General features: G+C 55.2%; 2 protein-coding genes, 1 long non-coding RNA gene and 2 other non-coding genes across 12 annotated transcripts in view, besides 15 other annotated features; 1 reads left to right on the top strand and 4 right to left on the bottom strand.

Annotated features, from left to right (window-relative positions):
• Positions 811-5,569, bottom strand: CDK9 (cyclin dependent kinase 9). The gene is made up of 7 exons (NM_001261.4): positions 5,363-5,569; positions 4,821-4,902; positions 3,995-4,085; positions 3,490-3,656; positions 3,218-3,389; positions 2,911-3,059; positions 811-2,425 (listed from the first exon to the last, which is right to left on the bottom strand). The coding sequence occupies exons 1-7, from the start codon at positions 5,452-5,454 to the stop codon at positions 2,060-2,062; spliced, it is 1,119 nt and encodes a 372-aa protein (NP_001252.1). The 5' UTR covers positions 5,455-5,569; the 3' UTR covers positions 811-2,059.
• Positions 5,019-5,313: an enhancer, noted in NCBI's record as "tiled region #2041; K562 Activating non-DNase unmatched - State 1:Tss, and HepG2 Activating DNase matched - State 1:Tss". NCBI's record gives its function as "activates a minimal TATA promoter and a strong SV40 promoter by Sharpr-MPRA in K562 cells, with weak activation in HepG2 cells {active_cell/tissue: HepG2 | K562}" and the evidence as "EXISTENCE:reporter gene assay evidence [ECO:0000049][PMID:27701403]".
• Positions 5,019-5,433: a biological region, named in NCBI's record as "Sharpr-MPRA regulatory region 2041".
• Positions 5,024-5,433: a silencer, noted in NCBI's record as "silent region_20312". NCBI's record gives its function as "represses an Ori minimal core promoter by ATAC-STARR-seq in GM12878 lymphoblastoid cells {active_cell/tissue: GM12878}" and the evidence as "EXISTENCE:reporter gene assay evidence [ECO:0000049][PMID:35858748]".
• Positions 5,439-5,733: an enhancer, noted in NCBI's record as "tiled region #7866; HepG2 Activating DNase unmatched - State 1:Tss, and K562 Activating DNase unmatched - State 1:Tss". NCBI's record gives its function as "activates a minimal TATA promoter and a strong SV40 promoter by Sharpr-MPRA in HepG2 and K562 cells {active_cell/tissue: HepG2 | K562}" and the evidence as "EXISTENCE:reporter gene assay evidence [ECO:0000049][PMID:27701403]".
• Positions 5,439-6,123: a biological region, named in NCBI's record as "Sharpr-MPRA regulatory region 7866".
• Positions 5,464-6,123: a silencer, noted in NCBI's record as "silent region_20311". NCBI's record gives its function as "represses an Ori minimal core promoter by ATAC-STARR-seq in GM12878 lymphoblastoid cells {active_cell/tissue: GM12878}" and the evidence as "EXISTENCE:reporter gene assay evidence [ECO:0000049][PMID:35858748]".
• Positions 5,596-5,685, bottom strand: MIR2861 (microRNA 2861). The gene has a single exon (NR_036055.1). It is a non-coding gene; the product is annotated as a microRNA 2861 (primary transcript).
• On the bottom strand, positions 5,680-5,770 carry MIR3960 (microRNA 3960). Its single transcript, NR_039767.1, has one exon. It is a non-coding gene; the product is annotated as a microRNA 3960 (primary transcript).
• Positions 6,174-6,493: a silencer, noted in NCBI's record as "silent region_20310". NCBI's record gives its function as "represses an Ori minimal core promoter by ATAC-STARR-seq in GM12878 lymphoblastoid cells {active_cell/tissue: GM12878}" and the evidence as "EXISTENCE:reporter gene assay evidence [ECO:0000049][PMID:35858748]".
• Positions 6,544-6,763: an enhancer, noted in NCBI's record as "active region_29052". NCBI's record gives its function as "activates an Ori minimal core promoter by ATAC-STARR-seq in GM12878 lymphoblastoid cells {active_cell/tissue: GM12878}" and the evidence as "EXISTENCE:reporter gene assay evidence [ECO:0000049][PMID:35858748]".
• LOC107987132 (uncharacterized) lies at positions 6,631-15,062 on the bottom strand. 6 transcript variants are annotated; one of them, XR_001746949.2, is made up of 3 exons: positions 14,221-15,062; positions 13,672-13,941; positions 6,631-6,844 (listed from the first exon to the last, which is right to left on the bottom strand). It is a non-coding gene; the product is annotated as an uncharacterized LOC107987132 (long non-coding RNA). The 6 variants fall into 6 exon arrangements; XR_001746948.2 differs by having other exon boundaries at positions 13,672-14,496; positions 14,927-15,062; XR_001746950.2 differs by having other exon boundaries at positions 14,927-15,062.
• Positions 8,072-8,281: an enhancer, noted in NCBI's record as "active region_29051". NCBI's record gives its function as "activates an Ori minimal core promoter by ATAC-STARR-seq in GM12878 lymphoblastoid cells {active_cell/tissue: GM12878}" and the evidence as "EXISTENCE:reporter gene assay evidence [ECO:0000049][PMID:35858748]".
• Positions 8,072-8,331: a biological region, named in NCBI's record as "ReSE screen-validated silencer GRCh37_chr9:130545551-130545741".
• Positions 8,141-8,331: a silencer, noted in NCBI's record as "fragment chr9:130545551-130545741 (GRCh37/hg19 assembly coordinates)". NCBI's record gives its function as "represses an EF-1alpha promoter that drives an FKBP-Casp9 reporter gene in an ReSE screen in phorbol 12-myristate 13-acetate-treated (for megakaryocytic differentiation) K562 erythroleukemia cells {active_cell/tissue: K562(+PMA)}" and the evidence as "EXISTENCE:reporter gene assay evidence [ECO:0000049][PMID:32094911]".
• Positions 12,180-12,529: an enhancer, noted in NCBI's record as "active region_29050". NCBI's record gives its function as "activates an Ori minimal core promoter by ATAC-STARR-seq in GM12878 lymphoblastoid cells {active_cell/tissue: GM12878}" and the evidence as "EXISTENCE:reporter gene assay evidence [ECO:0000049][PMID:35858748]".
• The window catches only part of SH2D3C (SH2 domain containing 3C), a 40,350-nt gene continuing 26,602 nt past the window's right edge, over positions 12,937-26,684 (top strand). The window contains exons 1-2 of one of the 3 annotated variants that reach the window (NM_170600.3): positions 12,937-13,012; positions 17,136-17,613. In NM_170600.3, the coding sequence (NP_733745.1) occupies positions 12,976-13,012; positions 17,136-17,613 (515 nt within the window). In that variant the 5' untranslated portion in view covers positions 12,937-12,975. Of the gene's footprint in view, positions 13,013-17,135; positions 17,614-20,308; positions 20,418-24,331; positions 24,703-26,684 lie in introns of those variants that run through there. The other 2 variants (NM_001252334.2, NM_005489.4) reach the window with 2 other exon arrangements.
• Positions 13,775-13,864: an enhancer, noted in NCBI's record as "active region_29049". NCBI's record gives its function as "activates an Ori minimal core promoter by ATAC-STARR-seq in GM12878 lymphoblastoid cells {active_cell/tissue: GM12878}" and the evidence as "EXISTENCE:reporter gene assay evidence [ECO:0000049][PMID:35858748]".
• Positions 14,086-14,356: a silencer, noted in NCBI's record as "fragment chr9:130539526-130539796 (GRCh37/hg19 assembly coordinates)". NCBI's record gives its function as "represses an EF-1alpha promoter that drives an FKBP-Casp9 reporter gene in an ReSE screen in K562 erythroleukemia cells {active_cell/tissue: K562}" and the evidence as "EXISTENCE:reporter gene assay evidence [ECO:0000049][PMID:32094911]".
• Positions 19,853-20,342: a silencer, noted in NCBI's record as "silent region_20309". NCBI's record gives its function as "represses an Ori minimal core promoter by ATAC-STARR-seq in GM12878 lymphoblastoid cells {active_cell/tissue: GM12878}" and the evidence as "EXISTENCE:reporter gene assay evidence [ECO:0000049][PMID:35858748]".

Here is a 26,684-nt window from a genome sequence, read left to right as displayed (position 1 = left end):
GGAGGCCGAGGCAGGTGGATCACCTGAGGTCAGGAGCTCGAGACCAGCCTGGCCAACATGGTGAAACCCCGTCTCTACTAAAAATACAAAAATTAGCCAGGCGTGGTGGCAGGCGCCTGTAATCTCACCTACTAGGGAGGCTGAGGCAGGTGAATCACTTGAACCCAGGAAGCGGAGGTTGCAGTGAGCCAAGATCATGCCATTGCACTCCAGCTTGGTCAACAAGAGTGAAACTCCATCTCAAAAAAAAAAGAGACAGAGTGAAGAATGCCATGTGAACACAGGCAGAGACCGGAGTGACGACTCTACAAGCCTAAGGGATGCAAGGACTGCCAGCAGCCACCAGGAGTCACGGGAAGGATTCTCTCTCCCTCAGATCCTCCAGAAGGAACCAACCCTGCCACCAATGACTTTGGGAACCAACAGAATAAATCTGTTAATTTAAGCTAGCATGCTTGTAGCAATTAGTTATAGAAGTCTCAGGAAAACAAATACACCAATCAAGAATTTTTTCCTTGGCTGGACACAGTGGCTCACACCTGTAATCCCAGCACTTTGGGAGGCTGAGGTGGGTGGATCACCCGAGGTCAGGAGTTCGAGACTAGCCTGGCCAAGACTGCGAAACCCCATCTTTACTAAACATACAATTAGCTGGGTGTGGTGGTGGGTGGTAATCCCAGCTACTCAGGAGGCTGAGACAGGAGAATCACTTGAACCCGGGAGGCAGAAGTCGCAGTGAGCCGAGATCTCACCACTGCACTTCAGCCTGGGCAACAGAGTGAGACTCCGTCTCCAAAAAAAAAAAAAAAATTTTTTTTTCTTACTTTTACTGGCCTTTTGTGTTGTGGTCTGGGTCAGTTTCTGTAAATGAAGGACAGTTCTGGTCAAAGGTTTTGCCAACCTTCCTTCCTGGCCCCACTTCAAGGTCTCCGCCTGTAAGAGGATGTAGGAAATTGACCTCCAGAATGTCTCTTCCTAACTTCAGGCTCACAGAAAACGTGCCTGCCAGAATGTGCCGCTCCTCAAAGGTTCCCAAGGATTCTACCTTCAGTCTGTTTTTTTCTCCCACATACTCCCCACCCCCGTCCAAACTACTGCCACCTTCCAAGACCCCTGTGATCCCTTCACCCTCTGCCCACTTTCTCTCTCCAGCCTGCCCCAGGCCCTCTACCCAGCAGTCTGAGGGACCATCCTTCTCAGGTGACAGGTCAAATTGTCACTCCAGTGATTTGCCCAGCTGGGTGACCATCGCAGCCACAGCAGCTCACAGCAGGCCCTCACCAATTCCCTCACCAGGGACATGAGATGCGTTCTGGAAGGCACCCAAGAGGAAAAACAGACAAAGGTCCTTTCCAATTATGGAAGAGAACATGAACTGAGATAAAAAAGTCAAGACCTCCAGTGACTTGACAATCAAGTCCCAATGGTCAGGCCCAACCTGCTGCTGACTGTGGGGGAACAGTTGGCGGTGTGTGCGCAGAACAAAACACACAAGTCCTGGAGGAAAAAAAAAAATTTAAAAAAAAAAAAAATTCAACTTTTAATTCTAACGGACCAAACTGTGCCCAGGAATGTCTCCAAACAATGGAACCAAAAGAAACACAGTAAAATTCTCCTGTTGAAGAAACCAAGAGTTTGTGCCAGCCCCAGTGTTTCTGAGGGTTAGGCCAAAAACAGCCCATTCCTGAGGCGAGCCCTGTCCCCACGCAGGGTTCTCAGCCCGAGAATAGGATTGTGGGTGGGTGAGGGACCTGTCCCCTCTTCCACCACGCCGGGAGCTCTTAGAAAAAGTCACTGGTGGGCGAGCCCATCCTCCTACCCCATGGAAACCCTCTGGGAACCATCCAGAAAACCAGCAAGGACAAGACAGCTCCAGTGCCCTCCTGGTCTCTCAGCCAATGCTCCACTCCAGTCCACTCAGCGGGCTGCTCCCAGAGCCCAGGGTGGGGATTAAATAAAATATGCATGAGAGATATAAACTCAAATGCCCTGTCTCCACGATGCAAGTCACATAGCAGAAGAAAAAAAACACAAGAGCCCTAGTGGCAAGCGCCGGCCCTCAGAAGACGCGCTCAAACTCCGTCTGGTTGGTGGTGGCGGGATTGCGACTCTGGTTGGTGGACTGCTGGGTGATCTGGCTGCCCTTCCGGCGCGGTGGTGCCAAGTACTCGAACATGGACGTCAGGTGGGTGGAGAGCATGCCCTTGAGGTCGGAGGGCATGGGGTCGGACCAGAAGAAGTCGTGGTTGAGGGCGTCATCGCTGTCGATGCGCTGGGCAGGGTCCAGCACCAGCAGCTTGTCGATGAGGTCCAGTGCGTATGGGTCACGCACATAGGCCTTCAGCCTGTCCTTCACCTTCCGCTTCTGGCCCTTGACCAGCTCCAGCTTTTCGTACAGCTCATAGTTGTCCACGTTTGGCCACACCTGGGAGGGAGGGGGCGTTGAGAGAATATGGAGTCCGGTCAGGAGGTGCGTGGCTTATCCCTTCATAAAGGCCTAAAAGGACTAAAATACCTGCTCCACTCGGAGGCTCCCAGACTGCTACTCGACCCCTCCCAGAAGCAGTGCCCGCTATGGATTGGCACATACCACGTGCCAGGTCCTTCCACCCACATCACCTGGAATATGGGCTCCAACCCTGATACACGTCACATTTCTGGTTCACAGAAGAGAAACCCAGCGCTGACTCAGATGTTCTGCCCAAGGCCACAGAACAGCTGATGGAACCGAGACTGGCGCACAGCCTGTGTCAGGTGTTTTTTTCTCCCACACACTCCCCACCCCAAGACAGGCCCTGTCACCAAACCAGCCTCCCTTCCAGAGAGGAGCGCTCCTTCCATTCTACTCCCCACTCCTCCTCTGCCGGGGGACCTCGATCTCTGCACCCCGTGGGGACCGGGGCCCCGTACCTCAGGGGTGATGGAGCCGCAGAGCTGACTGATGAGGGCGAGTTGGTGCTGCTCCGTGTTGCCCTGCATGATGGGGCTGCGGGTCCACATCTCTGCCATGATGCACCCAGCACCCCACAGGTCAATGGGGGGGCCGTAGTCCCGCTCCCCTGGGAAGAAGAGCGCACCAGGAGGGCCCCTTGAGCCCGAGGGCCTCCTGAGGCTCAATGCCCCAGGGCCGGCAGCTCAAGAAGCCCTGGCAGTTGGGGGGAAGGGGCCAGGTAGATGCCTGGCCCTCACCCCCCTTGGCCCGCTCGGGAGTCCTCACCGAGCAACAGCTCCGGGGGCCGGTACCAGAGTGTCACCACACGGTTGGTGTAGCGGTTGGGCTGGCTGTTCTTGGCCAGGCTGAAGGCCCGGGCCAGCCCAAAGTCTGCCAGCTTCAGGACCCCATCACGAGTGATAAGCACATTAGCAGCCTTCATGTCCCTATGCAGGATCTGCAGGAAGGGCAAGAGTGGGTCCTTTAGTGACATCCACCCGGGAGTGGGAGCCAAGACCAGCCCAAGCCTGGGTCCTCCTCCCAGCTCTGGCCCCCACCTTGTTTCTGTGGATGTAGTAGAGGCCGTTAAGCAGCATCTGCATCACCCTCTTGATCTCAGACAGCGTGAACTTGACCAAAACATTGCTCAACAGCCCAGCAAGGTCATGCTCGCAGAAGTCGAACACCAGGTATATACTACCCTTGCAGCGGTTATAGGGGGAAGCTGAGGCAGGAATAGAAAGAAGAAAAAGTCAAGAAAACCACACCCAACACACTTTCCCACAACCAGCTTCTTTCTTCCTGCTCCAACCCACGGGCACCCATGCCCTCCAGAGCATCTGTCTGTTCCTTCCTTCACCGGTCAAATATTTTCTGAGTGCCTCTTCTGGGCCAGGGCAGGCCCCGAGGAAGCACCAGCTACGATGAAAGAGGACCAGAAAAAGCAGTCACCATGGGTCCATCTGAGTTAAGAAGAGGCAGTTTAGGTGTGCCTAGTTCCAAGTTTACAAACAAAACCTTAGGCTACAAGTGTCATCTTCTCGTAAGAACCAAATAACTTACCTTTGGTTCGACAAATCTCAATCAAGTTGACCACATTCTCGTGTTTTAGAAGCTGAAGGATCTTGATCTCCCGCAAGGCTGTAATGGGGAACTGGGTGAGAAAGAGGGGAAAGTGGTCAAGAGTGAGCGCAGTACAGAGCCCAGCCCTGGGGTCTGTACTGACAGCCAAGTTGGGAGACAGAGCAAGATCATGGGCTCTGAAACCAGCTGTCTCAGAAGCCTTGTCTATAAAATGGATATTAGTAGCATGCACACTTCAAGATGATGGTTTGAGACAACAAACTGAAACAGCAATACTTTGCTATTAGCCACTAAACGCTCGGCGGTTTCAGTCTTCAAATTTCAGCTCTATGGCTGTTTCGTTGGCAACAAACATGATGATTTAAAAATGTCCTTGCTAATGCACATTACGCAAAAGAAGGTTTATGGGAAGTTGTACTAGAGCTAAGATGGGGTGGAGAAGGGACCGCTCCTTTTAAATACATTAAATAATTGAGTATCAGACACCTTTCAAAAAGCATGCATATATAATCTTTCTTTTACATTAAGCGAAATTTAACACTAAAAAAAGGTGTTTAAAGGCTTCCTAACTTCGTGAAATAAAGTGCACACGATGCATGCATCAACTCCCCCTCCTGGCCTCACCCATAACTGCCTAAGAATGAAACATTTAGTTTTAGGGTGGAAGCCACATTCCCTGGAAATTTCTGAACTACTACAAAAAAATTAAATCTCAACCTGAGACTCCCAGAAGCAGCAGGGTGGAAAACCGACCCGGGGTCCCGGGCAGTTAGCCGGCCGGCCCGCACGCCCGATCCGTACTCACCCCCTCCTTCTCGTTTTCCATCAGCACCTTCTTCAGAGCCACCTTCTGGCCGGTCTTGCGGTGCCTGGCCTTGAACACCTCCCTGCAGGCGGAAAGGGAGACCCGAGAACTCATCAGGCCATTTCCGCAGGGCCCGCCCCTCCCCCACTACAGGAGGAGGGGCAGCAGCAAAGAGATTCCCGGGCGGGGCTGGGCTAGGTACCCAGGGCACGCGGCTACCCCGCCACCCGGCAGCCTGTCTCGTTCGGAGCCTCTGCTTCCTTCCCTCAGTCCCTTCTCCTCACTTGGGCGTCCCTTGGAGAGATCCCGCTCCCCTCACGGGCGCCTCTCTGCAGCCCCTCCCCGCCCCCACCACGGGCCTCAGGCTCCTCCCCACCAGCCGGCTCCGTCAGGCCGGGGCGGGGTGCGGCGCGGCCTAGAGACCAGCAGGCAAGCCCGGGGACAGACGACTTCTCTACCAACTCGGGGGGGGCCCGGGCATCCCGACGTCGGCCCTAGGGGTGCAGGCCCAGGGCTCCCGGCCCCGAGGGGCCCAGCCTTACCCGAAGGTGCCTTGGCCGATCTTGGCGAGCTTCTCGTATTTGGAAACTTCATCACAAAAAGGGCACTCCACCGAGTCGTACTGCTTTGCCATGGCCGCCTCCAACGCGCCGCCGCCGCCCCCAGTCGCTGCTGCCGCCGCTCCTGCTCCGGGTCCCGCCGCCGCCGCACTCCAGGCCCCTCCGCGGCCGCGCCACTTCCGCCTCCACGGCCACTTCCGGCCTCGCGGCGCCGACCCCGCCTCTTCCGCCCGCCGCCCACCGCCAGGCCCCCTGGGACTTGTAGTTCCCGAGAGGCCAGGGGGAGCCGGAGCTGCAGAGGCGCCTCCGCCGCCGCCGCCGCTGCCCCCGCCTCCGCCGCCGCCACTACTAGCGGCGGCCCCGATCGGGGGCGCGGGGAGCCGGGGCGCCGGAGCTGGGGCTCGGGGTGGCGCGTCCCGCTGCATGGGCCCGGGCCGCCGCTGCTGCCGAAGCTGCTGCCGCTCTGGCGCCCGATCCGGGGCCAGCCGCAGTGCCCTGCTCCTCCTCCTCCGACGGCGCCGCCTCCGCCGGGCTGCGCGGGGCGGCGGGCGGGGGGTCAGCCCCCGAGCCGCGGCCTGGGAGCTCCCTGGCCGGACCCGGGCCCGGGGCGGCCGGGCGAGGGGGCGAGACGGGAAGAGCCGACTAGGAGACGGCCCGAGAGCCCAGGAGGGGGCGCGTTATAAAGGGGGAGGTGCCCGGCCTCGCCCTCCCCTCCTCCTCCGCCCGCCCCCGCCCTCCTCCCTCCCACCCTCCGCGGCCGCACCTGCCGCCGCCGCCACCGCCCGCCCGCTCGCTGTCCGCCGGCCGCCCTCGGCGCGTCACCGCCCGCGGCCCCTCCTCCGCCTTCGGAGGTGGGGCCCCGCGCTCGGCACCTGGCTGCGGGCGCCCTGCCGCGTGCCTCAGTTTACCCCCACATGTCGGCTGCAGCGGAAAGCCCCTTCCTCCCCGGCTCGGAGTGCCCCCACAGAGGCGAAGGCGGGAGGCGCGGAGGGAGCGTCCTCCGGCCCTGGGAGGAGAGAACGGCCCCCGCCTCCGCCTCCCCCGGTCCCCGCCACCCTCCGTTGACATGGCAACCGACGGCCGCCAGGGGGCGCGGCGGCACTAGCGGCGACGAGCAAGCAACGCCCGGGCCTTCTATCGCTGGGGTCTGGCTCTCCGGGAGGCAGGGATGGGACCCGCAGGACTCCCACCTCCGCTGAGTCGTGCCAGAGCTGGTCGGGCCCCGAGTCAGTAATCGCAAAAAACAGCTACCATTTTCTCAGCACTCTTGTGTACTCAGGAAGTGCTGGGCGTTCCCGCCGAATCCTGAATCAACAGCCCCATAGTCAGGATCACTAACCCATTTTGCAGAAGAAGACGTTGAGGCTCAGAGGTGAGGTCATTTGCCCAAGGTCACACGGCGACAAAGTTGGGACCCGAACCTGGGTGTCTGAGTGAGGGGATTCTCTTGACTCACGCTATTCGCTGTTGGGCCAGGAGGATAGCAGTGGGGAGGCCTGCTGTCCTTATGCAGGCGCGAGCTCACCGTTCACCCCCCCCATCTCCCTCCCCCATCGCGCCCATCCCTTCCCTCGCATCTTCCTGGCTCCAGCGGCCCCCAGATTCCCCCTCCAGCTCTGCCCAAGGACAGCCTCCAGCAAAGCCGTCTTTTCTGCCTCCTCTGCCCCGCTTCAATCTGCCCCCTCCTCTCCAGCCCTCTGCGGGTGGATCCTGAGACCTAGCCCCCCAGTCTGGCCTCTCTGTCCCCGAAGAACCTGAATGTGACATTGGAGGCTCTTTCCAGTTCACACCCCACCCCTCAAGCTGTGGCCATGCAAATCTCTCTACTGTCTCCCCAAGCCTTTCTGCGTTCAGGGCGGTGCTCCCCTGATCCTACACTCCCCCAGACTCTCGTTACCCTCTCTTCCTGCAAGAAGCCATTGGAGTGGGCGCGGTGGCTCACGCCTGTAATCCCAGCACTTTGGGAGACCAAGGCAGGCGGATCACAAGGTCAGGAGTTGGAGCCAGCCTGGCCAATATGTTGAAACCCCGTCTCTACTAAAAAGACAAAAATTAGCCAGGCGTGGTATTGGGCGCCTGTAGTCCCAGCTACTTGGGAGGCTGAGGCAGGAGAATTGCTTGAACCCAGGAGGTGGAGGTTGCAGTGAGCCGAGGTCTTGCCACTGCACTCCAGCCTGGTGACAGAGAGAGATTCCGTCTCAAAAAAAAGCCCTCGGGGTGGCTCCCAGCTCTCACCCCACACTGCTTAGCCTCAAAGCCTCCTAGGAGGAGGCAGGAATGGCTTTGGTGACCTTGATGTCACAAGAGGTCTTGTTCTGGGGAAGGGCACTACCAGGGAGGGGCTGGAAGGTCAGGCTGAGGAGGAAGGAGCCCTCTCCTGAGAGTAACGTGAAGCAAGAGAGGGGTTTAGGCAGTTAGTGACGTAGGGTCGGCTTCATGGCTTACACTATTAGAAGCAGGAGGCTGTTCCCTAAATTGGAGGTGGGGAGGATAAGGAGTGAGACCATAAAAATTTTAGTAATGACAACTTATTGACGGAAAATAAATGGTCCAAGCCCTACACTTGGCACTTTATGGGAATTATCTCGGTTGCCACTCAACCACATGGGTACTGTTGTCACCTCCATTGTACACATCAGGATCCCGAGGTGACATCACTTGGCCTGGGTCAAACAGCTGGTCAGTGACCATACTGGTATTTGAACCAGGTCAGTCTGGCACAAACCCCAGCACTTCCCCATCTCGGGGCCCTGCCCATCTGGCCTAGGGGTGGAGCCACGGCATTGCTGGGGTCTGAGCAGTAGTGCGGTGGGCGGGGATCTGCGGTGGGCTTGTGTGGCCTCCATTATCCGACTACATCTCAAGCCAGGGCCTGCCGTTTCCCATGAGCCCTCCCTAAGTCACATCCTGTGGGCAAAGGCCCTAGCAGAAGTTCCGGTGGAGTTGTCACCTACACCCCGCCATCCCTCGTCTGAACCCCAGCATCCGCCCGCCACTTCCCCTTGGGGCCTCAGGGCCTCAGTCCCCACTGTGGGATGCAGGCAGGCAAGAGAGGCAGGAAAGGCCGGAAGCCTGTCAGAAAGCTACCCAGGCTGCCCAGGTCCGGGGCCCCAGATCACCAAGCTGGCAAAACCCAGGCAGAAATAAGAAGAAATGAGTGATTTCTCATTGACTGGAAACGTTTCCTGCTTCCCAGGGGTCGGCTAAGCTGGCAAGGCTGGGCATGTGGCCAGTCCTTGGTAGATGTCTGCCCCAAGAGAGCCGCTGGTCCTGCTGCCATTTAACAGAGAAGGTGAGGGCAGCACAGGAAAGGGAGGCGCTGGACAGCTGTCTGACCCCAGCCTGGACCCCCTGTTTTCCTCTGAGCAGAGACAGACGGGAAGCATAGGAGGGAAGGAGAAGATGGGTTCATGGAATGGGCTGCTCTTGGCTTTTGGTGCATCTGAAGAGACAGTGGGTCAACTGGATAGCAGGGGTACAGGACGGAGAACAGCCTGTGATACCCACAACCCTCTAAAATCACAAAAGTTGCCTGTTTGCAGTGGCTCATACCTGTAATCCCCACTTTTGGAGGAGGAGGCAGGTGAATCACCTGAGGTCAGGAGTTCGAGACCAGTCTGGCCAACATGGCGAAACCCCGTCTCTACTAAAAGTAGGAAAATTAGCTGGGTGTGATGGCGTGCATCTGTAATCCCAGCTACTTGGGAGGCTGAGTCAGGAGAATCACTGGAACCTGGGAGGTGGAGGTTGCAGTGAGCCAGGATTGTGCCACTGCACTCCAGTCTGGGCAAGAATGAGACTCCATCTCAATAATAATAATAATAGTAATAATAATAATAATAATAATAATTGGCCGGGTGCGGTGACTCATGCCTGTAATCCCTGCACTTTGGGAGGCTGAGGCAGGTGGATCACCTGAGGTCAGGAGTTCGAGACCAACCTGGCCAACATGATGAAACCCCGTCTCTAATAAAAATACAGAAAATTAACCAGACGTGGTGGCGCCTGTAATCCCAGCTACTCAGGAGGCCTGAGGCAGAAGACTCACTTGAGTCCGGGAGTGATTGCAGAGTCTGAGCAGGTTGCGGTGAGCTGAGATCTGGAGACTGCACCCAGCCTGGGCAACAAGAGCGAAACTCTGTCTCCAATCAATCAATTAATCACAGAAGTTCTGCCCACACTAGCCAGGAACTGACTCAGTGCCTGGCCTGGGGTTGACTTGCATTGTCTCCCTGAAACTCTCCAGCAGCCCTATTAGGAGGTTGTTATTATTAGACCCAAGTTACGAAAGGGGAAATTGAGGCCCAGATTGGTGTGGCCTGCCCCAGGCTACACAGCCAGGAAGCTATGAAGCTGGGATTTAAAGCCAGGTTTCTTTACTCTCAAAGCCCAGGGTCATTTGCCATCATCCCACACTGTCCCCAATGTCAGGTCAACTGAGGGAGAAGCATCTGTTGAGCACCCATGATCCAGTCCTCATATGGAAGGGGGCTAGTGTGGATGGGTAAGGCCCCGGCCTCTCTCAGAAGGCTTCAGGTCTGTTCGGAACATGCAAATAAAGACACAAGGGGATTAAATCAAAATGATACTCTTGGTATAAATATTTTATTTTGCTGCCATGAGATCATGTAAGGGATGTTATATTTATCCTATTTTACTGATGGGGAAAAAAAAAAGAGGCTCAGAGAGGTGACATGACTTGCCCAAGGTCATGGAGGTGGGGATTGAACCCAGGATTGCGTGGGCCTGATGCCTTTGACGATGAAGTTTAAGGTCTCCAACTCTGCCCTGTCTGTGAGCCTGTCTTCTCCCTCCTCTCCATAGGCCCCCCAACACTATCCCTGCTTGAGTCACAGACTGAGGAAGAGGGGCAAGGATAGGGGACAGAAGTGAGAGCAGGGGGCTGGGCGTGGTGGCTTACGCCTGTAATCCCAGCACTTTGGGAGGCTGAGGCTGGAGGATCACCTGAGGTCAGGAGTTCGAGACCAGCCTGAGCAACATAGTGAAACCCCGTCTCTACTAAAAAATAAATAAATAAATTAGCCGGGCGTGGTGGGGCACGCCTGTAATCTCAGCTAGTCAGGAGGCTGAGGCAGGAGAATTGCTTAAACTCAGGAGGCGGAGGTTGCAGTACTAAGATTGCGCCACTGAACTCTACCCTGGGTGACAAGTTTTGTTTTTTTTTTTTAAGTCTCTGTCGTAAGTTTTTTTAAGACTCTGTCTCAAAAAAAAAAAAAAAGAAAAGAAAAAGAAAAAAGTTCAGGGATTCTGGGGCACTGTAGCCTCAAGCCAACCTGTAGGGATCCAAAGGAGGTAAAAGCCTGAGGCGGGGAGGGCAGAGCTGCATTCCCAGTGGTGTGAGGCCAGCCTGAGCGAAGGCCTGGAGGCAGGAAAGCACTCGGGGGTGTTCAGGACAGGGGACCATGGGCTGGGCTGACCTGCCCTCCAGTGCAAGCTGAAGAGCTCCTGCAGGACAGCCACCCACCGGCAGGTCCTCGGTCGCACTCCTAACGGCCACTCCAGGCAGCACAAAGGGGGCTCTGAGCTCAGCGGAGCCACCACACTGAGCCCTATTCATTCTCCTAGGGGTGCCAGAAACTGCCCTGGCGCCCGGGCCAAGAGCAGACAGGCCCCAGCACTGACGAGGCGCCTCTGCCGCAGCAACACAGCATCTCTGTGGCTGAGATTCCCAGGTCTTGTGCCTTGTGCCTGCCTGTCCCTGTCAGGATTCCCTGTCCTGTGCCAATCTGCCCCTTATCTGTGTCCATCTCTCAGCAACCACAGCCAGGGCTCGCGGAGGCCCACGGTGTGCTGGCTTGGACCAGTGTTTGCTTCTCTCACCCTCCCAACAACCCCATGGAGGGGGAGCTGCTGTGGCTCTATTTAACAGATGAGGAAACTGTGGCCCAGAGAGGCAAAGTGTCTTGTGCGAGATCACACAGCAAGTCGGGAGCAGGCCTGGCCAGGAAGCAGCATAGCCTTGGCAGCTAACCCAAGTCACACTGCAACCCCATCCTGGGACAGAAGCCGCGGACCTACTTTCTATCTTCCGCTAGGGGACACCAGCCAGGGAGTTAGGACACTTGGTTGTCAGTCTGTCCAGTGTCTGCCTCTGCTTTTTTTTTTTTTTTTTTGAGATAGGGTCTCCCTCTTTCGCCAGGCTGGAGTGCAGTGGCGCGATCTCGGCTCACTGCAACCTCCGCCTCCCTGGTTCAATTCTCCTGCCTCAGCCTCCCGAGTAGCTGGGAATGCAGTTGCACACCACCACACCCGGCTAATTTTTTAAAATGTATTTTTAGTAGAGACGAGGTTTCACTATGTTGGCCAGGCTGTGCTCAAACCCCTGACCTCAGGTGATCCACCCACCTCGGCCTCCCAAGATGCTGGGATTACAGGTGTGAGCCACCGCGCCCACCCTGGGGCTGTTACTGTTAATGGAGGATGCAGGAAGTGCCCTATCAGATGGCAGTGGACTCCTCTCACAGCCTGGGTTGCCAGCCTGGGGTCCAGGATAAAATGTTGAACCCCCACTGGTTGGCAGGTTGGCTGCATACCTCCCACTTCTCCCCATTCTAGAAATCAGGTGACTGAGGCTTGGGAGGTGGAAGTAGCTGGGATTGGCAGCCCTGGGTCTTGGGCCCCGCCCCCAGCCCCAGCAGCTGCTGACACCCTTTGCAGATGTCCAGGATGACCCGTGGAGGGGAGGTTGCATTTCCTCATCTCGGTCTGCCCACCTGAGCATGCACACATGGCAAGTTTGTAGGGTGGAAAGGCACCAGCCCGTGGGTTAAGGGGCCTAGAAGGGAGAGTTGTGGCCCAGTCTGGGCCAGCAACCAGCTGTGTTACCTGGGGAAATCCCTCTGCCTCTCTGTGCCTCGGTTTCATCATCTCTGTCCAGTGAGTACAGTGGAACACATGATGACATCTCCCTGATAGCTTGGAAAGTGGTGACTGTGCTTTGGTAGGCACCGATTCTGTGCCAGGCCCTACACCCATGGCTGAACCCGATGAAGTGGGCACTGCGAGTACCCCCGGTTCACAGGGAGGACGTCACACCGTGGCGAAATGGCCAGCCAAGAGTGGAACTTGGGTCTGGGGGGCCCAGAGTCCACAGGCCTGACCACAGCACTCTCCCATCTGCAGCTGCCAGTCCCTCTCCTGGGTACAGAGGCTGAGAAGCAACTGCCCTGCACACAGGCCTGACTCCCCTCACCTTCCCAGCCTGATGGCCAGGCCCCCTGACAGCTGTTGGCAGGTCCCCAGCGGCCCCCAGCCCACTGGGCTCCGTTCCCAGAGCCTGCGGCCTGCTCCTTAGACCTTCCAGGTCCCAGGGGCTTGCGGTCTGGCCCCTGCCCCTGCTGCTGAGGCCAAGGAGGCGGCCCACAGGGGCTGGGGCTAGGAGAGGCCCCAGCCCCCGCCCCCTGCGGAGAGGGTGGGGAGGGTGGAGCTGTGGGAGTTTCACTGGTTTAAAAATACACAGAGGAAGCGAGTAAGAGAAAGGGGAAGGGGAGGTGGGAGAGGCACCTCAACTTTGATGTCCCGAGCCTTGAGTGGCCACTCGCAAGCTGGCCAAGGGCTTCACACAATTTGCCAAGATGACAGAGGGGACCAAGAAGACCAGCAAAAAGTTCAGTGAGTGTGGGGTGCCGTCTGCACTGTCCTCCATCCCTGGCTCTCCTCTGGGCCTCTCTCTGCATCTGTTTCTTCATCACTGTCTCATTTCTGTTTTTCTCTCTCTCACTCTTTTTCTTTTTTTGTTTTTTGCTTTTGGACACCAGCGTCTCTGTCACCCAGGCTGGAGTGCAGTGGCACAATCTCGGCTCACTGCAGCCTTGACTTCCCAGGCTCAAGTGATCCTCCCACCTCAGCCTCCTAAGAAGCTAGGCAAGTAGCTAGGACTCCAGGCACAATTAAATCTTTTTTTTTTTTTTTGGCCAGGTGCAGTGGTGGCTCACGCCTGTAATCCCAGCACTTTGGGAGGCCGAGGCTGGTGGATCACCTGAGGTCAGGAGTTCGAGACCAGCCTGGCCAACATGGTGAAACCCCTCTCTACTAAAAATACAAAAAATTAGCTGGGTATGGTGACACGCACCTGTAATCCCAGCTACTCAGGAGGCTGAGGCAGAAGAAACGCTTGAACCCAGGAGGTGGAGATAGCAGTGAGCAGAGATTGCACCACTGCACTCCAGTCTGGGCGACACAGCGAGACTGCATCTCAAAAAATAAGTAAATAAATAAAGTAAAATAAAACTGATTTTTTTTTTTTTTTAGAGACCGGGGTGGGTTCTCACTTTGTTGCCCAGGCTGGTCTCGATCTCCTGGGCTCAAGCGATCCTCCTGTTTCCCGCCTTGTTTCTGTTTCTCTTTGTCCATCACTGTCTCTCTGCAGACGTCTCTGCTTCTGGGCATCCCGTGGCTTTCTGGCTGTCACTCTGGCCCAGCATCTCTGTCTCTCTGACTGACTTCGTTCTCCATCTCTGTGCTTCTCTTTATCCGTCTCTTTGTCTCCCCACCGCGTCTCTCGATCTCTGCAGTCCACTGTGTCTCTGGCTGTCTCTGACCTTGCGGCCGGGCAGGGGAGGCATTCGCACACTCCATCCCCTGCCCGCAGGCCTGGGCTCACATGGGATCTCAGGTGGGGAGTTACTGGGGCAGCAGAGGGATGGGGGCGTCATGGGATCCCAGGTGGGGAGTTACTGGGGCAGCAGGGGGATGGGGGCATCATGGGATCCCAGGTGGGGAGTTACTGGGGCGGCAGGGGGATGGGGGCATCATGGGATCCCAGGTGGGGAGTTACTGGGGCGGCAGGGGGATGGGGGTGTCATGGGATGCTGTCTCACATTCCCAACAGCAGTGAGGCTGGGACCCAATACTTGGGTGGGGAAAGAGCACAGAGGTACTAGAATCAGGCTCCACGGTGAGGGGCCACACTTGCCCACTGCTCTGTTTTCCTGTGTCTGTCCTTCCCAGTCCCAGCAAACTTTTTCTGTCTCCTGATTCCTTTGATCTGACCCCACCAGGGTGGGGGACATGTGGCGTAAAGGGCAGTGATTGTGACTGCATTTCCCAGATGGCAATGCTGAGGCGATTATGACTGCATTTCCCAGATGGCAACGCTGAGGCCCAGAGACTTGCTTGAGGTCACACGGGCTATTGAGCAGGGCCCAATCCCAGACCCTGGACTCTGGGCCTCAGTTTCCCTCCCAGCCCCCACTATCTCCTCCAAACGTCTGGTGCCCAGGAGGCAAAACCAGTGGTGCTGAGAAAGAAGGCAGTTGGGGGTCCTCCCTCTGGCCACTGATTCAATTTCCACCCCCACCGCATGCAGCAGAGCGGCCACATTTGCCGACACGTTTCTCAGGAGACCAAGGCAATAACCAAATAGGGCCGGCAGGGCTGGGAAGCAAACCCCTGAGCACTGACCCAGCTGTGCTGAGCCCTGGGCCTGTGTCCAGGCTCAGCCATGGCCTTGCTGTGTGACCCTGGGGGAGTCCCTCCCCATTGCTGGGCCTCAGTTTCCTCCCTTGTCAACTGGGGGCATCCTACCTGCATCCCAGCACGGGTGCGAACAGCTGAGGAGGTGGAGGATGCTGAGGATGTGGAAAATGCCGGAGTTTTACCTTTTTGCTCATCTGGAGGCTGTGGGGAAGTCAGTTGGTGGTGGCTGTGAGAAGGGACAGTCCCACAGCTGGGGGCAGGGGGAGGGAACTCACATACACCCCCGCAGAAACCAGGAGATGGTATCACCCCAGCCGTTCCTCTTGAGTCTGGAGCTGGGCTCAGCTGACAGGAAGGAGAGAACCACAGACAGTGCGACCCTCAGGCTCACAACAACCCCCTCCTCATTCCACCCCCACCCCAGGTGCACAGAGGCTGGCTGGAACACTCCCCAACCCCCTACATGAGCACAAAACACGCACACCTGCTCCACCTACCAGCGGTGTGAGCTCGGTTCATTACACTGCTCTGAATCTCAATTTTCGCATCTGGAAAATGGGGATTAAACTGTGTCACTGAGTTATGCTGAGAATTCATGCAGCACATTTGGCAGATGCAGAATCATTTTCAGAAATTTTTAAATTATTATTATTAGTGGCCAGGCACGGTGTCTTACCCCTGTAATCCCAACACTTTGGGAGGCCGAGGTGGGTGGATCCCTTGAGGTCAGGAGTTTGAGACTAGCCTGGCCAACATGGTGAAACCCTGTCTGTACTAAAAATACAAAAACCAGTTGGGCGTGGTGGCACGTGCCTGTAATCCCAGTTACTCGGGAGGCTGAGGCAGGAGAATCGCTTGAACCCAGAAGGTGGAGGTTGCAGTGAGCCAGGATTGCACCACTGCACTCCAGCCTGGGTGACAGAGCGAGACTCTGTCTCAAAAGAAAAAATAATAAATAAATAATTATTGCTATTAGAGACAGGCTCTTGCCCTGTTGCTCAGGCTGGAGTGCAGTGGTGCCATCATAATGCACGGCAACCTTGAACTCCTGGTTTCAAGCGATCCTCCTGCCTCAGCCTCCCAAGTAGCTGGGATTACAGGCACACACCAGCATGTCCAGCTAACTTTTTATTTTTATTTATTTATTTATTCATTTTGAGATGGAGTCTCACTCTTGTCACCCAGGCTGGAGTGCAATGGTGCAATCTCGGCTCACTGCAACCTCCACCTCCAGGATTCAGGCTATTATCCTGCCTCAGCCTCCCAAGTAGCTGGGATTACAGGCATGCACCATGCCCAGCTAATTTTTGTATTTTTAGTAGAGACAGGGTTTCACCATGTTGACCAGGCTGGTCTCGAACTCCTGACCTCAGATGATCTGCCCGCCTCAGCCTCCCAAAGTGCTGGGATCATAGGCATAAGCCATGGCACCAGGCCTTACTTTTTTATTTTTTGTAGAGACAGGGTCTTGCTATGTTGCCGAGGCTGGTTTTGAACTCTTGACCTCAAGCAGTCCTCCTGGCTCATCTTTCCAAAGTGTTGGGATGACAGGTGTGAGCCACCACACCCAGCTGAGAAACATTTATTATCGTCATCATCATCATCTTTGCTAATTCTGATTGAGGCTATTCTGTGTGCCAAGCACCATGTTAAGCATGTTATTTATAATCTTTTCTTTCTTTTTCTTTTTAATTTTGAGACGGAGTTTTGCTCTTATTGCCCAGGCTGGAATGCAATGGTGCAGTCTCGGCTCACTGCAACCTCCGCCTCCCGGGTTCAAGCAATTCTCCTGCCTCAGCCTCCCAAGAAGCTGGGATTACAGGTGCGCCACCACACCCGGCTAATGTTTGTATTGTTAGTAGAGAAGGGGTTTCATCATGTTGTCCAGGCTGGTCTCGAACTCCTGACCTCAGGTGATCCACCCGCCTCGGCCTCCCAAAGTGCTGGGATTACAGGCATGAGCCACCACGCCTGGCCTAAGCTTTTCTGTAATTCTCACATTGCCCTAGTGGGTAGGTGCTAGAATCTCTATTTTACTGATGTGGAGAATGAGGCTAAGCTTAGAGAGGTCAAGTGACTTGCCTAAGGTCACACAGCTAGGATGTGAAAGAGCAGGAATTCAAGTCCAGGGCCCCGTGACTCCAAAGCTCCCATCTTATACCATTTCTAGGGGCGTGTTAACAATTTTAGAAGGGGTGTCTGGGAAACCGCCAGCCCTCTTCAGCCCCTCACCGAGTGAAACTGCAGGAATTGTTCATTATTATCACTGATGTTGACATTGTCATTAACTTCTTTTCCTTCCCTTCCCCTCTGCTAGAGTTCTTCAAGTTCAAGGGCTTTGGGAGTCTCTCCAACCTCCCTCGGTCCTTCACTCTGAGACGATCCTCAGCTTCCATCAGTAGGCAGTCCCATTTGGAGCCTGACACCTTTGAAGCCACGCAGGATGACATGGTGACGGTGCCCAAGAGTCCCCCAGCCTATGCCCGCTCCAGTGACATGTACAGCCACATGGGCACCATGCCTCGCCCCAGCATCAAGAAAGCACAGAACTCACAGGCTGCCCGGCAGGCCCAGGAGGCGGGTCCCAAGCCCAACTTGGTACCCGGAGGTGTACCCGACCCCCCAGGCTTGGAGGCAGCCAAAGAGGTGATGGTGAAGGCCACTGGCCCTCTAGAGGACACCCCAGCAATGGAACCCAACCCTTCAGCAGTGGAGGTAGACCCCATCAGAAAGCCTGAGGTCCCCACAGGAGACGTAGAAGAGGAGAGACCTCCCAGGGACGTGCACTCAGAAAGGTAGGTGCCCAGGGGCTGGTTGGGACCTGCAGGGATGGCTTCTGTTTTTTTCTTTTTCTTTTTTTTTTTTTTGACACAGAGTGTCGCTCTGTCTCTCAGGCTGGAGTGCAGTGGTGTGATCCCGGTTCACTGCAACCTCTGCCTCCCGGGTCCAAGCAATTCTCCTACCTCAGCCCCCCGAGTAGCTGGGACTACAGGCGCCCAACACCACTCTTGGCTAATTTTTGTATTTTTAGTAGAGACAGGATTTCACCATGTTGTCCAGGCTGGCCTCGAACTCCTGACCTCAGGTGATCTGCCTGCCTCGGCCTCCCAAAGTGCTGGCCGGGGCTTCTTTTTAACCCAGTACACATCTGGGTTAAAAAGAAAAAAACCTACACATTGACCAGGTGCTTACTGTAGACCAGGTACTGTGCTAAACCCTTTACTTGTAATTAGCAAAAGAAAACTGGCAAGGAGAGACTGTTACTGTTTCCACAGGACAGATGAGGAAGCTGAGATTCACAGAGTGACATCATCTGCCTCAGTCAGGGTGCATATTTGCTAATGACAAAGCCAGCATGTGAACCGAGACCCCCTGCCTTCAAAGTCCCAGTTAGCCTCTAGCATGGGCCCTCAGCTGCTGGATGGGTCCTAAACCCAGTCACTAGACCCCTGCCCTGAACCCCCTCACGCAAATCATCACCATTAGTTCTGCTGGACAATACCTCCACCTAGTCTAGAAAACCATTTGTCAGCTTAATTTGGTTATAGGGTGAGTTGAGTTCATGTAAAAATACAAATTGTGATGATAGGACAATAGCTCCCATTTAGTAAGCATTTTTACTGGGTATCAAAACAAGTATCTCACTGAAAACTCCATAGAAGATTCAATCATTAAGGCTGGGTGCAGTGGCTCATGCCTGTAATCCCAGTATTTTGGGAGGCTAGGAGTTTGAAAACAGCCTGGCTAACATGGTAAAACCCCGTCTCTACTAAAAATACAAAAACTAGCAGGGCGTGGTGGTGCGTGCCTGTAGTCCCAGTTACTCAGGAGGTGGAGGCACGAGAATTGCTTGAACTTGGGAGATGGAGGTTGCAGTGAGCTGAGATCACACCACTGTACTCCAGACTGGGCAACAGAGCAAGACTCAGTCTTGAAAAAAAAAAAAAAGATTCAATTATTAGCCCCACTTACAGATTGGGAAACTGAGACTCAGCCAAGGTTACACAGAACTGGGATTTGAGCAGGAATCTGCTTGCTTCCAGAGGCTGCACACTTATGTACCACATTAGACTCACCACCTTCTCAATCCTAGGGCCATGCCTTTCACACCCCGGGAGACCCCTCAATCCCAGCCAAAGGAGTCCCCGGCTTTTCAATCCTTAGAACCTTTGTCTCAACCACACCAGTCACATGTGCCTGTTGAAATAAAGAAAAAAAGTCAGCTGGCCGGGCGCAGTGGCTCACGCCTGTAATCCCAACACTTTGGGTGGCCGAGGTAGGCAGATCACAAGGTCAGGAGTTCGAGACCAGCCTGGCCAAAGAGACCAGCCTGACCAACATGGTGAAGCCCTATCTCTACTAAAAATACAAAAATTAGCCGGGTGTGGCGGCGGGCACCTGTAATCCCAGCTACTGAGGAGGCTGAGGCATCAGAATTGCTTGAACCTGGGAGGCAGAGGTTGCAGTGACCCAAGATCGCGCCATTGCACACTCCAGCCTGGGCGACAAAGCGAGACTCCAACTCAAAAAAAAAAAAAAAAAAAAGCCACCTGAGCAAAAGTAATTGTAGGGCCAGAGTTCTGGGACCTTTCTTTCTTTTGTTTTTTTCTGGTAACTTTCTTGAGCAGCTTTTTCCTGAGACACCAAGCACAGCCTCTGTCTCTGAGCTGTAATTGCCTAGACCCCTGATCAGTGAGGAGGACCATGTAAAGGGGTAGAGTGAATCCAGTCCAGATTCTGCCTCTTACTGGCTGCATGACTGGACAAATCTCTTCCTCTCTTGGAGCCTCAGTTTCTCATCTGATAAATGGACGTAACAATAGCATCTACCTGGTCGGGTTGTGGTGAGGATTCAAGAATAACATACCTGTAAAATCTCAACACAGTGGCTGGCATGCTGCACTCAGTAAATGGGAATGCTGTATTTACGATTAGTAGAACTCATGTTTTTCCACCATCCCCGGCTGCCTTCTGTCATCCCCTCCTACATTCGTCCTCATTCGGGAGTAAAGGACCAAGGATTGTATGTAGCTGAGAGGGCCTGATGATGGGTCCTGGGGCGTTCTAAGACACCCCAAGGTATGAGACTGCACCAGGAGCCTGGCCCCTCCCACCCAGGGAAGCCGAGTTTCGCGGGAGCGGGGCGGGGCGGGGTGGGGCGAGGCGAGGCGGAGTTGAGGGCGTGTCTAGGGGCGTGGCCTACCCCAGGCTGCGCGGAGAGCTGCTGGGGAAGCGAGCGTTGGAGCCGGGCGGGCGAGGCGGAGGGGTGTGCTAGGGGGCGAGGCCTTCCCGACACTGACTGATGGGGAGGGGGCGGAGCGAGACCGCAGGCGGAGGGCCGTGTTCGAGGCGGAGAGCGTCCTTCCCTGCCGGTGGAGTAGGCGGTGGAGTGGGGCCGGGCAAGGAGCGCAGGGGCGTGTCTGGGGGCGTGGTCTACAGGTCAGTCTCCGCCCCCGGAGTCCGGCACTGAGCTCTGCAGCTCAGTGGCCCGAGAAAGGCAGGAGCCGCTGGGTTTAGGAGGTCCCCGGGTTGCCGGCGGCGACAGCGGGGGAAGCATGACTGCTGTGGGCCGAAGGTGCCCCGCGCTGGGGTCCCGAGGGTGAGTGACCGAGCTGGGCCTGGGGAGGGCCAGCGGGGAGCAGGAGAGGTCGAAGGAGGAAATCTGCACCCCTGGGGCAGCTGACAAATTTGGGGGCGGGGTTAGCATCAGGGACTTTTCTAAGCCAGTTTTCTTTGGGTGTAACTTTGTCACCGCAGGTCAGGCATCTGCTTATCTACTCTACACAACAGCCCCAGGAGGGAGGTACTACTATCACCCCCATTTTATAGATGAGGAAAGAAAGATTTGCCTGCCGAGTTTGACACAGCCAGTGAGCGTCAGAACCAGGGTTTAAACCCAGCTTCCTGGCCCATGCTCTTAACACCTGGGCAGCACATTCCTCTCCAGCAGGGCCAGGGCCGCTGAGAAAGGTGGTCTTGAGAAACCTTGAGAATGGCAAGTCCAGGACCCAGCCCAAGCCTTCTTCCCCTGTGGACAGAGCCCTGGTGGGCCTAACAGTGCCTCTGGCATCATGCTTAGCCAGGAGCTGACCAAGGAAATGAAGAGACTCTTCTCCTCCAGCATCTGGAGTGTCCCGAGGAGGATGGGGTTAGCAGACCAGATTGAGCCCCCTTCTGGTGCCCCGGGACCCAGTGCTCCATCTGCCCTCCAGGGACTGTTGAACATTCCTTCCAGAAGTCCCTGAACCTCAACCCTGTGCCCTGGAGTCAGGGGAGCAGCCTGGCCCATGAGATCTCAGACTAGCCCTGCCCCATTCTGGTCCTTAGTCTCCCCAGTAGCCCAGATGGGCCTGAGATGGTCTCTGAGGATCCATTCAGTTTGGGGAGGACATTTGGGAAATGCCAGTGAGCAAGTTCGGGGGCCCTGTTCCTGAGTGTCTAGAGGAGGCCATCCCAGGCCTAAGCTGGGGAGACAGTGTCCCTCCCCCACCCCGGGGAGACAGGGTGCACCTGGAGCAGGAGGAAGGAAGGGGAAGAGGTGAGGCTGCAGGGGTTTCCTGGTGTCCTGTTCCCTGCTGAGATCATGGGGATGAAGAGGAAGGAGGGAGGAGGGACCTTTAGCTCCCCTGGCTAAAAAAGGAAAGCACCAGCCTAGCCTGCCCCCTACCTCCCAAGGACCTTCAGTCTTCTGCAGGTCCCAGAGAGGCACCCTCCCTCCTCAATCCATCCTACAGAGGAGGAAGCAGAGGCCTAGAGAGGGACAGGAAGCCCCAGCACTCCCTACCCCACGCCTACCCACACTGGAATTGTCAGGCGAGGGTCCCACCAGGCATGATCACCAGCTGACAACCAGCAAGCACCTGACAGGTGTTGTCTAGCTCAACACTAGACTGGGGTGTGAGGTGGGAGCCTCTACTTGCTCCATTTTGCCAGTGAGGAGACTGAGACTCAGAGAGGGGAAGGGACTCTCCTGGGGTCACAGAGAAATTGGGTGTCAGGCCTCACTATTTGATCCCAGGCCTGACTAAGCCCAAGCTCTAAACCACTAGGTCACATTTCCCCTCCTGCAAGTAAAAATCTCAAAGTTTTTCTTTTGTTTTTTCTTTATTTCTTTTTTTTTTTTTTTTCGAGATGGAGTTTTGCTCTTGTTGCCCAGGCTGGGGTGCAATGGTGTGATCTCGGCTGACCGCAACCTCCGCCTCCTGGGTTCAAGCAATTCTTCTGCCTCAGCCTCCCGAGTAGCTGGGATTACAGGCATGCGCCACCACGCCTGGCTAATTTTGTGTGTGTGTGTGTGTGTTTTTAGTAGAGCCGTAGTTTCTCCATGTTGGTCAGGCTGATCTCGAACTCCTGACCTCAGGTGATCTGCCCGCCTCAGCCTCCCAAAATGCTGGGATTACAGGCGTGAGCCACCGCACCCAGCCAGCTTTTTCTACCATTATTTCAAATGACTTCCCATGACTCTCTGGAAAGGAGCCCATTTTACAGATGAAGATGTTGAGATTTTTGTGAGGCTAATAACTTGCTTGAGTTGATGCAGTTAGTTGAATGGGAATGATATTCATTGTCATTTTGACTGAGGTACAGCTATGCCTCAGACACTGTTCTAGGTCCTGGGAGATAGCAGTGAGCATGGCAGACAAAACCCTGCCCTCATGGAGTCCCCATTCCAGGGCAGGGGAGACAGAAGATAGACAAGATAAATGAGTTCTGTGGTCGACTAGAAGAGAAAAGCCTTAACGAGAAAATTTAAAATCAGCTCTAGAATTGGTTGGCGAAAGTGGGGAGTGGCTGGTGGTGCCAATTTAAGAAGGTTAGCCAGAAAGAAAGGCTCAGTGAGGAAGTGGTGTTTGAACAAAGGAGACGAAGGGACAAACCCTCTTGCTGGCTGGGAAGGAGCATACCAGGCCAAGGGAACAGCGTGTATAAAGGCCCTGACGTGGCATGTTTGGGGAACAGTAGAGACCACTGTGGCCGGGGCAGAGCAAGGTGGGGAGGACAGGGAGGGGTGGGCTGGGAGGCTGGGATGGAAATGGGAGCAGATAACGTAGGGCCTGGAAGAGCCCAGCAAGGACCTGGCTTTGGCTCTGAGCAAAACGGGAGCCATTGCTGGCCTTGAGCAGCAGCAGGCCCCACTGTGACTTATGTTGTTAAAAGACCTCTTTTTAGGAGAATCTTTTCTGTGTTTGATGTTTTTTTGAGACAGGGGCTTTATTCTGTTGCCCAGGCTGGAGTGCAGCGGCTCGATCATAGCTTGCTGCAGCCTCGAACTTTTAGGAGGATCTGATTGCTGTTCTGTGTCGCTTTTTAGTGCCTCATCTGAGTGTCCTTTGCCTCCCACCTAGAGATCCAAGCCCCTACCCTCACTCCCAAGGGGCTGTTTGGAAGGAAATGGAGACTTGAGAACCAGGGGTACCCTGTGTTGCCCCTTCCCCAGCCCTGGTGCCAGGCACTGAAAACAGGCCAGGATACTCCCCCCACCACTCCATTTCCTTTTGGAATGTTGATTCTGGTCCAAGAATTCCCAACTCTCCCCAGAGTCCCACGACCCTCTCGGCCCTGCAGGGTGACGTCAGCTGCTGGGCATCTGGTAGCGATTACCCACCAGGGGTGGGGGTCGTGGTGGGCCGTGTCTGTGCAGCCTCTTCAGACTCTGGGAGGCTAGTCCTTGTCTTCCGAAGGGGCCCAGCTGCTCCCGGCTCTCATTTCCTGTGGAGACTTTCTCACAGTCCTTGAGACCCCCGGACGCCTTGGGCTGTGGGAACCGGGCTGGCTTGGGAAGGATGGGCTGTTCCCCCGGCCCCTAGCTGGATCCACATCCCCCCAAACCCCCAGGGGACCCAGTTGCAGGCTGCTGGACCTGCGTGGGGTGAGGGCTGGGGAGGATAGGGGTCAGGTACAGCAGTAGCTCAGAGGCCCACTGACTGTGTGACCTTGAGCCAGTCCCTTTTCTTCTCTGAGCCTTAGTTTCCCCATCAGTAAATTGAGAACAGTGACAGCACCTGCTTCATAGAGTCACTGTGAGGACGGGATATGTCAGGTGGAGCATTTATTCTGGGCTTGGCCCAAGCAAGTACCAGTAAACAGGAGCTACTCATGCTGTAGAAGGGGAAACTGAGGCCTGATGAGAGGGACTTGCCCAGAGCCACACCACTTCCTACCTCCCAGCCGAGGGCCCTCTCAGGCTCCACCCCATTTCCTCTTCCTGACATTGGTTCTGGGCTCTGGTTGAAATATTGTTTTTTTGTTTGTCTGTTTCTTTGCCTTCCCTCTCTAGCTTCACCTCCTCTGCACCCAGAAGTGGCTCCCAATGTCTGGGGGAGTCCGCCCATGTAAGGAACAGAGCAGGGAATTAGACATCAGGCCATCTGGTTCTAGTCTGAGCAGCTGCATGCCCTGGGTCAAGTTACAAGCTTCAGTTTTCTCCCCTGTAAAATGGGGCTTCGAGATCCAGGCGTTCCCTCATCCACTAGCACTCAGTAGATGCCTTTTCTTTTCTCTCTTCTTTGGCAGGTTTTGAGACTTGGGTGGCAGCTGTCAGGGCCCAGCATCCTCAGCTCCGCTCTGGGAAGAATGGCCCCTGCTCTGCCTTCTCCTCACAAGGCTGTCGCCCGTCCTGAGCTCCTGCTGGACACTGCAGCCCACTCAGGAAAACTGAGGGCTCCAGACGGTGGAGAGGGAGCAGAATGTGCTGGGCACAATGGTGGCCCATCTTGGGGAGTGGGGCAGGGCCAAAGCCAAGAGCCTTCCCGGCAGGGAATCCCACAGGCCCCATGGCTGGTGTCCTGGCAGAGACGGGGCTTTCCACCCAGCTCTTTTTGCCCAGGGCCTTTAAGGACTGAGAAGCTCAGAGCAGGCAGGTGCCCGTTGCTTCTCTGCGGTGGGTGAGTGAAGATGGGCGTGAAGGAAGGAAAGAAGCTGGGCACAGGGCTCACGCCTGTAACCCCAGCACTTTGGGAGGCCAAGGCAGGTGGATCACCTGATGCCAGGAGTTCAAGACCAGCCTGGCCAACATGGTGAAACCCCATCTCTACTAAAAATACAAAAACTAGCCGGGCGTGGTGGCGCAGACCTGTAGTCCCAGCTACTCAGGAGGCTGAGGCAAGAGAATCACTTGAACCCGGGAGGCAGAGGTTGCAGTGAGCCGAGATCATGACACTGCACTTGAGCCTGGGCAACAGAGCAAGACTCCATCTCAAAACAAACAAACAAACAAACAAACAAAAACAGGAAGGAAAGAAACTTCAGCCCCCCAGGAGGGGCATGGTGGGAGGGTGGCAGATCTTCATGGGTGGAGTCTGGAGCAACAAGAGGAGCCCCACATGGGCCAGGAAACCTTGCACCCCTCCTTCTCATGTGGTCCTCACAGACCCTCTGGGAAGATAGTTATAATGTGCCCACTTTACAGATGACGAAGTTGAGCTTCAGAGAGGGAAGGCAGGGAGCCAGGGATCAGGGGCAGGGGAAAAGCTGAAAGGCAGGTGGCAGAGGTTGGGGAGGTCTCCACTTGAGGACGTATGTCCAGGCCTCAAGGCCCAAGGGAACAGACAGGGAGAGAGAGCAGACAGGCCTATGCAGAGGACCAGGTCACTATCATGAAAGAGGGCCAGGGTGGGGCAGGATGGCAGCCTCTCCCCACCCCTTCTCCTACAGGGCCCCTGGGGGAACGTCACCCTTCCTTCTGGCCCAGGATGAAGGCCCTGAGGGTGAAGCTCAGATTTAAACATGCATTGGGAAAATAAGGATAATGGGCTTTAATTGCTGCTCATTAATCCAATTAATTAAGCTAATGTATGCAATAAGTGGTATCAGTTATCAGAACAAATCAGTTAATACAGGCAGTGAAAGGGGTTGGTTATTTAAATAATTAATGCTGATGATTAATGGGACTGATTTAGCTCAATTATCACTATTATTTATTAATTGATTTCACCACTAATATGGCAGGAGAAGTCTCTTTTAGGTTTGTAAAATGAGGAATAAATAAATTAATTAGTGGAGCTGAGTTTTAAAAATGGATGCTTTGATTCCTGGATTTGATCATTACAATGGGAGGGAGAGTTTTCTAGAAATCCCCAAGCAAACTGAACTCTGAAGGCTGAGTAGGAATGACCCTAGCCAAAAGGGAGCAAAGACATTCTAGGCAGAGGGAACAGCACGTGCAAAGGCCCTGAGGCTGCAGGGGGTGGAGCTCTTTGGAGGAAGTTTGAGGAGGCCAGAGTGCAAGGAAGGGAGAGGAGAGAGAAGAGATTTGACCAGCAGAGGCTGGGTCACAGAGGGCCCAGCCAGGAGGACTAGACTTTGTCCTCAGGGCTGCAGGGGGCTGCTGTGACACTCATTCATTCATTCAAAAAAATATATTTACTAAGTTCCTGATGGTTCCTGATGTTGTCTAGACAGAAACACAAACCCTTGTCCTTGTGGGGCTGACATTCTAGTGAGAGGAGCTAGTCCCTGCATGAGAGGAAATGCGTGCTAAGTCAGATGAGGGGTCAGGGCAGAATTAAGCAGGGAAGGGAATGTGGTAGTGGAGGAAGATCACACTTTCAGAAAGGGTGGCCAGGGAAGACCTTGCTGAGAAGGGGACATTTTAGTGAAGAACTGAAGGAGGGGTTGGGTGAGGTCGCTCACACCTGTAATCCCAGCACTTTGGGAGGCTGAGACGGGAGGATCGCTCCAGCCAGGAGGTCGAGGCTATGGTGGCCATGATCTCACCACTGCATCCCAGCCTAGATGACAGAGTGAGACTCTGTCTCAAAAAAAAAGAACTGAAGGGCCAGGCATGGTGGCTCACGCCTGTAATCCCAGCACTTTTTGGGAGGCTGAGGCAGGCAGATCACCTGAGGTCAGGAGTTCAAGACCAGCC

The sequence above is a fragment of the Homo sapiens genome, chromosome 9 (assembly GCF_000001405.40).
Source record: "Homo sapiens chromosome 9, GRCh38.p14 Primary Assembly".
Lineage (NCBI taxonomy): Eukaryota > Metazoa > Chordata > Mammalia > Primates > Hominidae > Homo > Homo sapiens.
The sequence above is the reverse complement of the archived record's forward strand: the minus strand, read 5'-3'. Positions and strand labels throughout refer to the sequence as shown.

What these genes read in the sequence shown, in the direction of transcription:
- CDK9 (NM_001261.4), bottom strand. Translation starts at nt 5,454, where the DNA reads ATGGCAAAGCAGTACGACTCGGTGGAGTGCCCTTTTTGTGATGAAGTT. An exon ending in TGAGATTTGTCGAACCAAAG is followed by an intron (nt 3,657 to 3,994) that starts GTAAGTTATTTG and finishes TTCCTGCCTCAG; the next exon opens with CTTCCCCCTATAACCGCTGC. An exon ending in GCCCCCGGAGCTGTTGCTCG is followed by an intron (nt 3,060 to 3,217) that starts GTGAGGACTCCC and finishes TCTTCTTCCCAG; the next exon opens with GGGAGCGGGACTACGGCCCC.